The sequence below is a fragment of the Homo sapiens genome, chromosome 7 (assembly GCF_000001405.40).
Source record: "Homo sapiens chromosome 7, GRCh38.p14 Primary Assembly".
In the NCBI taxonomy this organism is placed as follows: Eukaryota; Metazoa; Chordata; class Mammalia; order Primates; family Hominidae; genus Homo; species Homo sapiens.
In genome coordinates this window covers 147,478,753-147,493,018 of record NC_000007.14, presented here as the reverse complement: position 1 = coordinate 147,493,018, position 14,266 = coordinate 147,478,753, and the positions used below count along the sequence as shown (strand labels likewise).

General features: G+C 37.5%; 1 protein-coding gene across 2 annotated transcripts in view; it reads right to left on the bottom strand.

Annotated features, from left to right (window-relative positions):
- The window catches only part of CNTNAP2 (contactin associated protein 2), a 2,304,198-nt gene that overhangs the window by 927,980 nt on the left and 1,361,952 nt on the right, over nt 1-14,266 (bottom strand). For both annotated transcript variants that reach the window (NM_014141.6, XM_017011950.3), the window contains exon 11: nt 6,978-7,084. In NM_014141.6, the coding sequence (NP_054860.1) occupies nt 6,978-7,084 (107 nt within the window). The remainder of the gene's footprint in view (nt 1-6,977; nt 7,085-14,266) is intronic.

The following is a 14,266-nucleotide window of genomic DNA, read 5'->3' as shown; positions in this document are numbered from 1 at the left end:
AAAAAGCACTTTTTTTTATTATACTTTAAGTTCTGGGGTACATTAAAAAGTACTTTAATAAACAATATCTCATTGAATTTTCAAAAGGAAACTTAAGTTTAGAGACATTAAATGACGTGTCTAAAAACACAAAACCAAGATAGCACAGAGGAGCGGGGGCGGAGAGATGGGGAGGAAAGTGATTAAATCTGAATCATTCCTATTTTATTGCTGTCAGTAACCTGTGGCATGGACTGGAAAAGCTGACTTCACCTTCTATAAGTATGAGTGAAATCCACACTTAATGCAGCAAGCGTGTTTGAGGAAACAGAGAATTTATAAAGTATGGAGACAGTCATTTTTCTGGAACTTAGACATGTCCAACTGATGGGGAAGTAAGTTTGGCCACATAGCCTAAGGATCTGATGGTTTGACATCAGGACATCTAATTTCAAACCCTGAGTGTTTTCCCCTCTCCATAACTTCCCTGTAGCAAGGATACACATATAATATTACATGATAAATCAAAAGATTTTTATGTTCATGTTATTCAAATTTTATAGAGTTTAAAATAAACTTCTTGTCATGTACTAGTCAATATTTAAACATATCTGTATCTATTTTAGAATAACTCCTATAGTTAGCCAGTATAGTAATTGACCACACTCTATGATGTAAGGGGTCCCCAACCCGTTAGTAACTGGGCCTCACAGCAGGAGGCAGGCATTCCCGCCTGAGCTCCGTCTTCTGTCAGATCAGCGGCAGCAATAGATTCTCATAGGATCCTGAAACCTATTGTGAACTGTGCATGTGAGGGATCGAGGTTGTGCACTCCTTATGAGAATTCAACTAATGCCTGGTGATCTGAGGTGGAACAGTTTCATCTGGAACCATCCCCTTACCCACTTCCCCCACCCTGGTCTGTAGAAAAACTGTCTCCTATGAACCTGGCCCCTGGTGCCAAAAACGTTGGAGAGTGCTGATCTAAGATATTATCTTTGTTGCAACTTCCTTTGCTATTGTTACTATAATGTCATAGTTCTCACAAATTTCAGTAATGAATGGGGCATCTTAACATGGCACAATATTTTCCTTAAAGATAATTTGAAATATGTAGATTTTTTTTGCTAATATCCTAAATTCCTCCATATAATTTCTTAGAATAATGTTTAATGTCTTGTGGTAGTTTTTGGTATTATTTTTAGTACCCTGCCTTCCATTTACCCATATTTTGTTATTGGACTTGATTCTATTTTTCTTTTTGCCCTGTAAGTGTACTCTCTCCTTATAGCTTCACTATCTTCATAAATTTACTGTAAAGAGGGCATTGAATAAAATTTAAAGAAAACACTGTTGCTCTGGATACTCTTTGACATTCAAGAATGCTTGGAGGCAGTGCATATTCACTGCGTGCATAGTCTGTGCTGGGCGAGCCTCAGATTTAAACTGGTGGATGAAATGTGGCACCACCTCCTGCCAGAGATGCAGAGACCAGTGGAGGAGAAAGATATTATTAAATCATTATGAATAATAAGTGCAAAATCATAACCATTGCTAGTGCTAAAAGACATATGTGTGTTTTAGAATAAGAGGATTTGATCTAACTACAGGGCCATGGAAAGCTTTTCTGAGATGACTGCTGAGCTGAAATCTGAGGGAGGAGTAGAAATGTACTAGACAAAGCAGAGAGGTAGATGTGCAAATGTCCTGTGGTGGGGGGTCGTGGTATAGGAGGGGCAAGGGTATGAGAGTGCAGGGCATGCATCAAAAACTGAAAGGAGGCCAGTGCATTGAAGGGGAGAATGGGAGGAGATGTAGGGGAGGAAATCAGGTTAAAGACATGGCCATATTACGTAGGACCTGGCAAGCCAGGTGAACTTGCCCCAAAGGATGGATTCCAATTCCCTAAGGCTAAATATCTAAATTTTATTTTAGATACCTGCTATGGTTTGGCTCTGTGTCCCCACCCAAATCTCACCTTGAACTGTAATCCCCACGTGTTGAGGGAGGGACCTGTAATTCCCACATGCCAAGGGAGGGAGGTGATTGGATCATGGGCGAAGTTCCTCCATGCTATTCTCATGACAGCGGGTGAGTTCTCACGAGATGATGGTTTTATAAGGGGTTCTTCCCCCTTCGCTTGCAATTCTCTCTCCTGCCACCATGTCAAGAAGGGCCTTGCTTCCCCTTCGCCTTCCACCATGATGGTAAGTTTCCTGAGGCCTCCCCGGCTACATGGAACTGTGAGTCAAACCCCTTTTCTTTCTAAATTATCCAGTCTCTGGTATTACTTTATAGCAGTGTGAGAACAGACTAATACCATATCCAACGCAATTCTACCCAATGCTGCTTGTTTTTGTAGCAATGCTCAAACTCCAAGTTATCATTGATGCCTAAGTTGTAGAAACTCCAAATGGACAGAGACACCAAGTTTCTTCGTGCCAATAAATCTAGGTCTTTATGCTCTATGTTAGTATGACTACAGCAAATAGAATTCAATTTATTTTGAAAATTATTCTTTGAATTATATCAATTATAGGTGAAATGGATTATCAACAACATGGTATGGGCTGTTGAAATCCACTGCGCCTCTCACGTGTGCTGTAATAAGGTGCAACACAATTTACAGTTTACACATTTATGAACCCAGAGGAAATGCTCCAGCATACGGAATGTACAATTGTTACCGTTTACATTTAAATTTTTCTCTAACATTGGCTAGAAAAAATTTTACTTTTGCTTTATTTGGCAATGTCAGGACCTGTTCCTTACTAGTATTTCAGAATTTTTAAATCTCGTGATTTTAAAATTAAAAGAGAATTATATAGGTCATCTAGTTTATTCCTCCTGTTTCCCCTGGAAACATTACGTCTATATATTTGGGCAACATGAAAATCTCTCCTTTAATAAAAAGATCTGCAAAAATATTTTCTGTCAGAATGCACATCTGACATTTAATAAATTTCCAAGGCTAACATTGCTTATTTTTGTCGAACACTAAAATACTATCCTTTAACCTCTTGCATTCATTAAATTAGCCAAAAGTTTTCATATTATTGAGGATATTCTAAGGAATTTTTAGAGCAGTTCCACACAAGGAACTAGTAGTATATATAAGAATGTTTGGCCAGGCATGGTGGCTCATGCCTGTAATCCCAGCACTTTGGGAGGCCAAGGCGGGCAGATCATGAGGTCAGGAGATCCAGACCATCCTGGCTAACGCAGTGAATCCCCATTTATACTGAAAATACAAAAAATTAGCTGGGCATGGTGGCACGTGCCTGTAGTCCCAGCTACTTGGGAGGCTGAGGCAGCAGAATCGCTTGAACCTGGGAGGTGGAGGTTGCAGTGAACCGAGATCATGCCACTGCACTCAAGCCTGGGTGACAGAGCAAGACTCCATCTCCAAGCAAAAGATACATTCTTACAGTGCTTTTGGGAGACTGAAGCAGGGATAAGTCAATACAATAAACACAAACTGTTCAACATGATCATTTTAGTCCCTTTGTCATGGTTTGGTGTTCAGATATGCTACTATTCAGATCTTAAAGGATTTATGGAGAGTGGAATGCCTGTATGAGAAAATTTTTTCAAGTTTAAAACTTCAACAATTTAATGTATTTGCATTTTGTAACAAACTTGCCTCTTTTGTTCTTAAACGACAAAAACTGGCTTTCCCTTTCCTGTGATCTGACTATCTTCTGTGATCTTTGGCTTTGTCTGTGGGATTGAGTTGTCTACTCATCCCAAAGGGAGACATCCTGGCTCCTCAGGGGAGCAGTTCACAAATGACAGTCCTCTAAGCCCTACATATAATTTACGTAAAAACAAAGTCCCCATGTACACACAAACTAACAAATGAAAACAGGAGACATAGGTTTAGGAGGCATACTCTTCAATTCTTCTGGAGAAAAATACTATGGAAACCAGTCATTCACTGCAGTCCAAATCTGCCATAAAAGTGATAGCAAACAATGTATGGTGACATTAAATTAAGAGACACATTGTGTGATTTGGGCAATTATTGGTATAGAAGTTCAAAGGAAAAGGACAATTGCTCTGAAAGTGATGAAATGACAAAAATTTATTGAGTACCACATAAGCCAAAGTTTTTCTCAGCATCTTCCGTACATCATTTCATTTAATCTCACAATGGCTTGAAGAGGTGAGCACTGTTAATTATCTATTCCTACAGGAGAAAACTGAAGCTCAAATAATTTAAATGGCCTAGGGTACAAGTAAGAAAATGGTAAAGTCAAAGTCAACACAAGGCAGAGTGACCAAGCAAAAAGGCCTCTCTGTTCCATCTTGAACTAGAGCTTCTAGCCTGGATGATCACAGGTCACTCATAGCACTGCTGTCTCATCCTGACCAAGCCCGGGCTAGTGTAGAAGGTGTGCTAAAATATTGTAGCCTGTAATGTTTGAAACTCTAACAAATGTTCTATTATATTAAACTTTAGCTCTTAGTTAGCTGCTTTTTTTAAAAAAAAATACTATTTAAAATAATTAGCATGATTTCTTTTCAAGATGAATGCTTGGTCTTCTGCAGGAAATAATGAAGCAAAATATTTTATGTTACTTACACAGTTCAAACCCACAGAATACAGAATAAGCAACTGCAAATCTCAGCTCACTGGCTTGTAGAATACCAAGAGACTTCAGTCGAACAAAGTGCAAGAAAAGTCAAATGATTGACCACAAAGGCACACGGCCTGATGGTTTTATAGCTAGCGTCAGACACATCAGAAACTGGGGCCTTCGCACTTCGTTCTTCTTGCTTTGAATGTGGTCATTGATTTCGCAAAAATGTAAAATTGTTCATTCTGTGTCAAACTGAATGGCATACATTGTATCTTCTTACATTTGTGCTGTGTGAAATTTTTAACTAATCCATTTGGATAAGTAAGACTGTATCAAGTCTTTCAGGTTATTAGGAGGCAAATGGCCTTCAATAAGCTACAATGTATATTTTTCGAAAGAAAAAGTCACCAGCCAACCCTCTCTTGAATTATGTAGTATGGTCTTTTCACCTCTATTTATGCACACGTTGGATATTCAAAATTTTGGCTTCATTTGGAGAAGACAACAAAAGATCAGGCTTTTATTATTAAAAAGAATGATTCTGCTTTTAAAGATCCAACAAAATGGAGCAAGGAACAAGTAGGAAGGAGCAGCAGAACAAAAGACAATTTTTGTCTTTTACCTTTGGAGCTGGCCACTAGCACCAAACCTAAACACACTTAGGACATTTCTAATCCTTGGAGTCATTACCCTTAAAAAACAAAACAAACCTCAGCTACTCAACCAGTAGCATACATTTTAATTTTTTTTTTTGCCTTTTTGCTGTGTATTTTAAGGATGGAAACAGTTATAAAAAAAGAATAAGTTGCTTTTCAGTTCAATGTAAAAGCCATCACTGAGATAGAAAATCCTTGCAACCACCACCGATTTCTTGCTCTTGACCATTGGTTAGCATTATCGTATTTCAGGAACAAGATCCCGTGTAATTAAATATGGTATTTATAACACACGATAAAAATTATGCTAGTGGAGTGAAGGCACTGAGTTTCATCAATGTAATTCTAGCATCACGTTATATTTAATAAATGTCACATACTGGAGGTTAATATTTTGATGTGATTGGTAAGGAACAATTTTAGTTATAACTCTTTGAATTAATTTCAGTATCAATCATTTTTGTTCTTTATTCATTAAAATACTTTCATATATGTAAACACAGATAATGAATCTAGTATCAATTTTGACCTTCTTGACATCTTTCTATTGTTAGTTTTGTCAAGATTTCCTTTGCCTCTTGTTTTTGAATATCTACCTAAACAAATAAATGTGTGCAACTTTGTAAGTCAACATTTTACAATATATTCAAAACACGATTTCTTCTTGCACATTACTACAAATAACACAATGGAAAGGCTTAGAGAGCTGTATGACATTTTTACTGTACACAGGGCTCTACTCTGAGATAGTTTGCTTGTCACCATTTCCTAAAAGTAAAGTGAAATCTGTTTGTATAATCGGAGGATTTAGATATTAGAGTTTCAGTGTTTGGGCATATTGAGAGAAGGTTGAATCTCTCTTTTTCTCTTGCTCTTCCTTCCCTACACACACACACACACACACACACACAGGCACATACGTATGCACACACTAACCAACAGTTGACTCTCTTCTTGTAATTATGTGATTCATGCCAAATATGTTTTCAAAAGTGCTTTGTTTTCAAAAGCGTTCTGCAAATGGCGATGCATTATTGGAAAATTAATATTATAATTATAAGAGTTAGCATTAAATTTTTTAAGTACAGAAATTTATTTTTTATTTAACCTTTTGGAATAAAGCTATTTATATAAACCAAGGCACATATGTGTTTTCCTAGTCATTTTTGCATGTTACTTTTTATTTTTGCCATTTTAAAATATTTTTACCCTCTTATGTCTTCATTTTATTACCTTCTTATGTATTTTATCTATTGGCTTTTAGATATTCCATTTCGGACTCATTTCTTTGATCTAAAAAAAGGTAGTCAAATAGTTGGGCTAAAGCATGAGGCAGCCATCATCCAGAAACTAAATGTTCCAATTACCCTGTGTCTCCCTCTCGGATTAATTAATAAATGAGGGTCCAGTCAGAGACATCACACTAACACGATTTCCCAAACAATCGACCCAACAGATGTGGGTTAGACACAGAGAGGCGAATCCAAGTTTGGACTTCCAATCTCAACTATGTGTTTATGGAACAGAGGAAATGCTGGTCCTTCTTTTTGAGTCCTTTGCCACCAGAGAACATATTTTAACAAGTAGAATAGTGTATTTTATTTTTTTTTTTTTGGAGAAATGACAATTGGAATCTTGGTTTTTCAGATTCGAGTGATGTATTATGTGGATTATTCAGGTTGCTGAGCTTCAAAGCACAGCTCAAGACTTGAGATTCTCATGCAATTACAAGATTAAAGTGAGATAAATTGGCACTCACAGTTGTGGCAGGTGGCCCCACTGTATCCTGTCTCATCACAAGTGCATTTGAAGCTGTCCCATGTTTGCGAGCACTTTCCACCATGCTCACAGTGATTGGGCACACATCTGTCAGAGAGAGAGACAAACAGAAATAAACCAACAAACAAATGAGATTTATGAGTGGCCAAATTCCAAGCTGTCTGGGCAATATATCATTTCAATGCCAGGTTGCCTTACCAAGGCAATTAATCCTTGTTAGTTTAAGCAGATTAATATGATTCATGAAAGAAGGTGCCAAGCGCAACAAAGATGATGTATCACCGACCTGGAGCTTCCCATTTTTGAGTAAACAGTAGACACTAACAAACAACTGAGGGATTTACTTGAATATCACAGATTCATTTTATTTTTCTTTTACCCCAAAACAAAGACAGCAGCTAAGTTCCCTCCTGGTGAAAGATCGAAGATAAGCTGTCTTATTTCTTGTTTTATTCTATTCTTTGTCAAGCCAAAAACTGACGTAAAGAGGGGTATCATCAAGTTTTTCATAGCAATTTGAGTTTTTGAAATAACGTCATGATAACAGCAATGAAAATATACTAACTTAGAAAGAAAAGATTTCTAAGTCTCCCAAACACCTATTTCCCACTGGATAACTAAAGCAGCCTGCTGAAAGAGGCAGCAAGCATAATACAGAAGGAAAGATACAGGTTTTGTGTTCAAATCTATATCTTTTTATTAAGATGACTAATTGTAGCTACTTAACTGAACCTTTCTGAACCTTAGTTTTCACCTTTGAAAAATAGGATAATTCTATCTTACAAATAATTTTAAGGTTTGAGGATAATGTTCATGAAGTATTAACAGACAACTAATAGGCAGGAAATAGTGGGCCAATAAACGGAAGCTTTAGATTTCTGAAACACAGCCTCCAGGGCACAGCTTTACTGTACCTCAGAAATTGTGAGGCTGAAATTTGTCCTGAAACACCCCTGTTTCAATGGCACAAACCCTTTCTCCTGGTTCCATCCACTCATCCCTCCCATCAATTCCTGTCTCCATCTACCCCACAACCTGATTTTTGTTATAATCCTGCTGAAGATGCTCACAGATAACAAAGGTATTCATTGTGATGTACCAGTATTCACAAAGGACATCTAGACTTTAGTAGGGAACTCTCAAAAACAGGAAAACTTTCCCAGATTAAAATAGCAGAATCTATAATCATGGGTCACTGGCAAAGGACAGATAAAGAGCCACCCCTTTATCATAATGCCCTAGCAGCTCCCTGCTACAAAATCTGATAGAGCTGGCCTCAGAAATAGCATTCTCCAACTCCTGTTCTCAATTTACCACTAGCCATGCCTAAAACCACCTGTAGCTGGGCTTGGCTCAGTTTGGCATGGAGCCCCTGGCTCTGAGTAGCTTGCTGTTCTTCCACAACTTTTTACAAACTTTTACTCCTGAAACAAACATTGATTGAGCACCTGCTATATGCACAGCACTACGGAAAATAGAAGATGACTACGACTGTATTCACAGCCTTGCAGAAGAGCTCATAGTTCATATAGAAGTAGATACAGTATGTATGAAAACTACAGTGCAAGGAAGAAATGAAAAACAGCATAATTCAGGGACAAATAAAGTACTACGGGATTTCACATGAGGAATCATGTACATTTTGGGCACAATTAAAAGCTTTTAGGTTGAGACTCAATGAATGGACAGGACTACAAGAGAAGAAAATGAGAGGAAGAACATTGGGGAAAAATACAATATAAACAAAAGCATCTTGTTGAATTATCATGAGGGATGGAAAATTCACCCTAAATTTAATAGACACTTACTTTTTTATAAAATTTGGGCTCAGTGTTATCAAGGCTACAAAGATGTTTCATCTCCAAATTTGAGTGGAGGTGGGGTGGGGATCTGATTCATGAAAAATGCAAACCCAGAAGAATTTGATGAGTCATAAAAGATACACGAAATGCTATAGAAATTTGGATACTAGAGGAGTTACAAGTGGATGATAAACAAAGGCTTCATAAAGTTCAGAACATTTCACCCGGGCCTGAAAAGAAGAGTTGTATGTTTATGATTAAAATGTTGAAAATCATTCCTAGCAGAATAGGCGAGAAAAGCACTGATAAGGAGGTGGAAGAGTGAAAGCAGTGGGAGGTGCAGGGTTGTGAGGGTCCTTTCCTATAGCCACTATTCTGTACAGGCCCTGAGGCGTGGGAACACACACAGCAGAAGGTGTTTACATCCAGAGCAGGTGGTTCTGCATATGATGGAAGGAAGCAATGGGCTAGACACTTCAAAATTACATGAAACTAAAACATCCTTGATACTTAATTTTGGAATTCAGTACGTATATGGTGTTGTATGGTATATTTACTTTCTAAATTATTGCGGGTTAATATTAGCTCAGCCTAATATTGAAAGTAATTTACATCAGCTCATTATATCAATTAATTCGGGGGAAGTAGTGCAGAAGGGTACTAAGTAGCAGAGGAAAACCAGGCTGGAATCTAAATGTGGTGTAAATAATGGGCAGAGTAGAAAATCATCTCGATGATAGAAAAGATTACTGTGTTCTTACACGCATGCAAAAAGGATATATCCATCAAGTGAGATTAATGAATACAAGTCATCCCTCTCTATCTGTGAGGGGATTGTTCCACACCAATCCCCACCCACCCCATAGATACCCAAATCCACGCATTTTCAAGTCCCTGTTATAAAATGGTGTAGTATTTGCATATAACCTATGCACAGCCTCCCACATAATTTAAATCATCTCTAGATTACTTAGATTTATCATCGTATTATTTTTAATTTTTTTCTATTTGCCATTGGTTGGATCCACTGATGGATTCACAAATACAGAGGTCCAACTGTACTTCAAAAATTCAGTATTAAGGATTTCTTTAAAAGTATTTTTTATTTAGATACAATTTTAATATTTTTCTTTCTTATAATTCTTATTTTTATTATTTATTAATTTATTTACTGATTTATTTTTGAGACAGAGTCACCCAGGCTGGAGTGCAGTGGCACCATCTCGGCTCACTGCAACCTCCGCCTCCTGGGTTCAAATGATTCCCCTGCCTCAGCCACCCAAGTAGCTGGGATTACAGGTGTGTACCACGACATCCAGCTAATTTGTGTATTTTTATTAGAGACAGGGTTTCACCATGTTGGTCAGGCTGGTGCCGAACTCCGGACCTCAAGTGATTCACCCACCTCAGCCTCCCAGAGTGCTGGGATTACAGGCATGAGCCACAGCCCCCGGCCGATTATTTATTTATTTATTTATTTATTTATTTATTTATTTATTGAGACGGAATCTCGCTCAGTCGCCCAGGCTGGAGTGCAGTGGCGCGATCTCGGCTCACTGCAAGCTCTGCCTCCTGGGTTCACGCCATTCTCCTGCCTCAGCCTCCCGAGCAGCTGGGACCACAGGCACCCGCCACCACGCCCGGCTAATATTTTTTTGTATTTTTTGTAGGGACGGGGTTTCACTGTGTTAGCCAGCATGGTCTCGATCTCCTGACCTCGTGATCCACCTGCCTCGGACTCCCAAAGTGCTGGGATTACAGGCGTGAGCCACCACACGGGCCTGATTCTTATTTTGAAAATTGACATTCTCCCTGTGATGATTATAGGTATTCTAATTCTTAATGGTGGAAAATGTTTTATTTCCTAACCAACTTGTTCAAATATAATTGCAAACCCTATCGCCATATATATATATTTTAAAAGTTAGGACCAGTTACCAAGCAAAACAAAATACTAATTAACCTAGCTACCCCTTTCCTATTATTTCTTCTGTATTTCCACAGAACTAGTAACCTATGTCCAATACACCATTATTACATTGCTTAGCAATGGTTTGTTGAGCACCTGTCTCTTCTGAACTGAGATTCCTACAATTAGGGGTTTTTATCTTATAATTCTTTACATAACTAGGTGCATGCTCAGTAACTGCCTATTGACACATTGACTGAAAGAATGGATGAATGCAATGCTAGAATGTTACACCACCAAGAAACAAGTAATTTCAGAAGAAATATCTCTTTTACTGTGAGAAATATAGATTATTTGTATCTATGATTTTATTCTCAAATCCAGACTCTTGCGCTAATAAACTAATTTTTTTAGTAGCCACAAGGAATGTGTAATTTGTTTCATGGCAAGTCCTAGCTTGAAAGTTTGGTTCACATCAAAAATGAATAAAAATGACTCGACTGCTTCTACTTGAGAATGACTTGACCGGGATCAGGAAGGTACAGGGGAGAAGTTGGCAGGTGTCAATTTGTTGTGATCAAGTGACTCCAGAAGAAGTGATGCATCCAATTAACTCGGGCTCCAGACAGCCCTGCCTTCTCCATCGAACTCATACTTAGTTCCAGCTTTCAAAATGCTTTAGAATCAAATGCATTTTATTCAAATAAAATTCATTTAGACTCCAATACATAAGACAAATGAAAGCTATATTTTGGAAGGTCAAATGGGCTGCAATTACTTAAAGCAAAATAAATCAACATGGACAGAGTGGCTGGTTAGATGGATGTTGCAATTCAATCCAGGGCTGTGGATGACAGTTGCACTTTTATTTTACCCATAGCATCTCTTTTATTTCTGAACTTGATTTTAATTGCAAAGCATTGGGAATTTTGGGAATCACAAATAGAAGAAGCTGCAAATGGTACCAGATTTGTTTGTTTGTAGTAGCTTACTTGGTAGTTTATGGACATTGTTTAATTAAGCAGGGATAGTGGAAGAACTTTTATTTCAAATCTAAAAAATGTTAGCCTGACAGCATAACTGTATGCCTTGGTAATCATCAACGCACGTTGAAGGCTTTTTATCTACAGTGCTTAAAGTTAAAATAGACATTTTAAAATAAAATGTCTTTGTGTTACCTTTAAAACCATATTTGGTCTTGTAAAACCTGAAATGAAAACCATAGTCATAGCACCATGACTCCAGAAATCCACATGGAAATATGTTCTGGTGGTACCAAGCGCAATGAACAGTGCCGTGTGTATCAGAATAACTGCTGTTCTGTATAAACCGAATCCTTGGCACTCAAAAGTAGTGTTTCTCAAACCTTTGTGTGCATAGGAATCTCTTGAAAATCTTAAAGATTCTGATTCTTGCGGTCAGGATTGGAGTCTGGGATTCTGAGATCCTAACAAGGTCCCAGGTGATGCTCATGTGGTCGGGCAGAGAACCACGGTTGGAATAGCAAGGCTCTAGCGCATCGCACTTCTCTGCAGCGGGGGCTCAAAGGAGAATGCAGTTGCTGAGTAGGAGGAGAAACAGCCCAGGAAGGGAGCACAAGGAGAGAAGACAGCCTGCAGCCAGGGCTAACACGATCTGTTCAGTCATTTCTCCTAAGACTGCTTTTCCATAGGTCCTCCTGCCATGTTTTAATCTGATCTACTCAGAGTGACATATAATAATCTTTGTAATCTCATTTAGCAAGTTAAATCATTTCTGCACCTGACTGTAGACTTCATATAATTCATAGAAAGTGATCACTGACTATAAAGGCAGTTTCACTTCTTCATAAAATCAAGTTCAGCATTCTCAATCTCAGGGTCAGCTAAGACTTTCCCCATGCTTAGACCACATACATATAACAGTGCTAGGATATTTAATTTGCTTTTAGACTAATGCCAACTTTACACCTGGACATTAAATATGCCTTGTTCTAAACTTTAGAAAAGACTGCTTCTAGGTTACTGATAGCTTATTTTTGTAAATGATTGGCCCATTATTTAAAACAATTTATAAGTTATTATTCCAGTATAAATTGCCTCCTTAATTTATGAGTTGTTCCCTTCATCTCAGCATGAAATTTTATTTTTGCTTATTAAGACAAGAAATATATTTAGAATTCTTGCTTCCTTGAATACTGTTTTTCATACTCGTGACTCTCAGAGCTGTTTCCATAATCATAGTATTTTCTTCTGCATTACCTTCTATGTTGATCTCAACAATATTTGAGTACTTTTATTTCTATACTAACTAGATTTTGATTTCAGTTGAAAGGATATTCTCTATGGAGTGTCTTCTATTTATTTTATCCTGCCTTCTATTTATTTTATTCAAATAGAAATTATTTAGAAAAATAATCACAATTCCAGTAACTAATTTAAAATGTTGTTATTACATAACATTATAGTGGTAAAACTAGAAACACTATTGTAATATTGATGGAGCTCCTTCAACAAGCATTTATTTATAGAAATGTTTAAATGCTAAGATATTTACTGTACCTCTGACATTATGCCCAAACTTTTCATTAAAAAAAAAGCAAGCATATTTGGTCTACATCTATTAATCATTAATTTTGCTATGATGAGATAAGCAACTTAACTTGGGTTTTCTGCCTTTTAAATCTTTTTTATTATAATGAACTAGAGTTCACTTTATCTCATTTTGCTAATTTACTTAGAGTTATACTTTTACAATATATTTCTCACTGTTTTGTAAATAAAATGTCTTTTGAAAGATTGCTGGCCCACAGGAAAAGAACCTGCAAAACCATCTGTCTATTCATCTGTCTCCAGGTTGAACTGTATTAAACCTAAATAAACAACCCTAAGTTCTTTCAAATCAGTCAGTCGCCTGTTCCACATAAGACACTCTAAAACAAACTCTGAGAAACAAAGAATAAAGAAAGTTTCATTCTAAAGAAATTGTCTTTATTCATGCAAACATAATTAGCAAATGAGTTCTATATACATATGCCAGATATTAGAAAAACTGGTACAGAATGAAGATCATAGGCCATTGTTTTATGCGTGTATGGAAGTTTTATGGAATAACAAATCTTTGAAAGAAAGTTTAGACTTGAGTAGCCTGGAAGGAGGAGGAATCCCCTTCTACGTGGAGGGAAGACAAGGGCCTGCATGTTTAGTTAAGCACAGAATGTGGTTGTGAAGTAATAAATCAGTGAGTTTAGCTAGAGAAGAAAGTCTGCACACAGGAATGAGGATCACAGCAGACAGTTGTGGATGCCCATGCCACAGCCCTTTCCCCTTTCTTCCTGTCGTCACCCTGCTCTTGCTCAAGTATCTAGCCTCCTTCACGTGGCCTGTGCCTTTTAGAAGGGGATACTATTTCAGTCTCCAAGGATCAAGAAGGAAAGAGTCAGGCATCCTAACAAAGTCATTAAGCTGTTGCACATTGTTATGCAAAATTTACAGTCCTCTTCTATAGCAATAGAATTTATGTCTTGACATAGAACCCCACCAGTTACAGACAATATTTTCCAGGCTTTCTTTAAGTTAC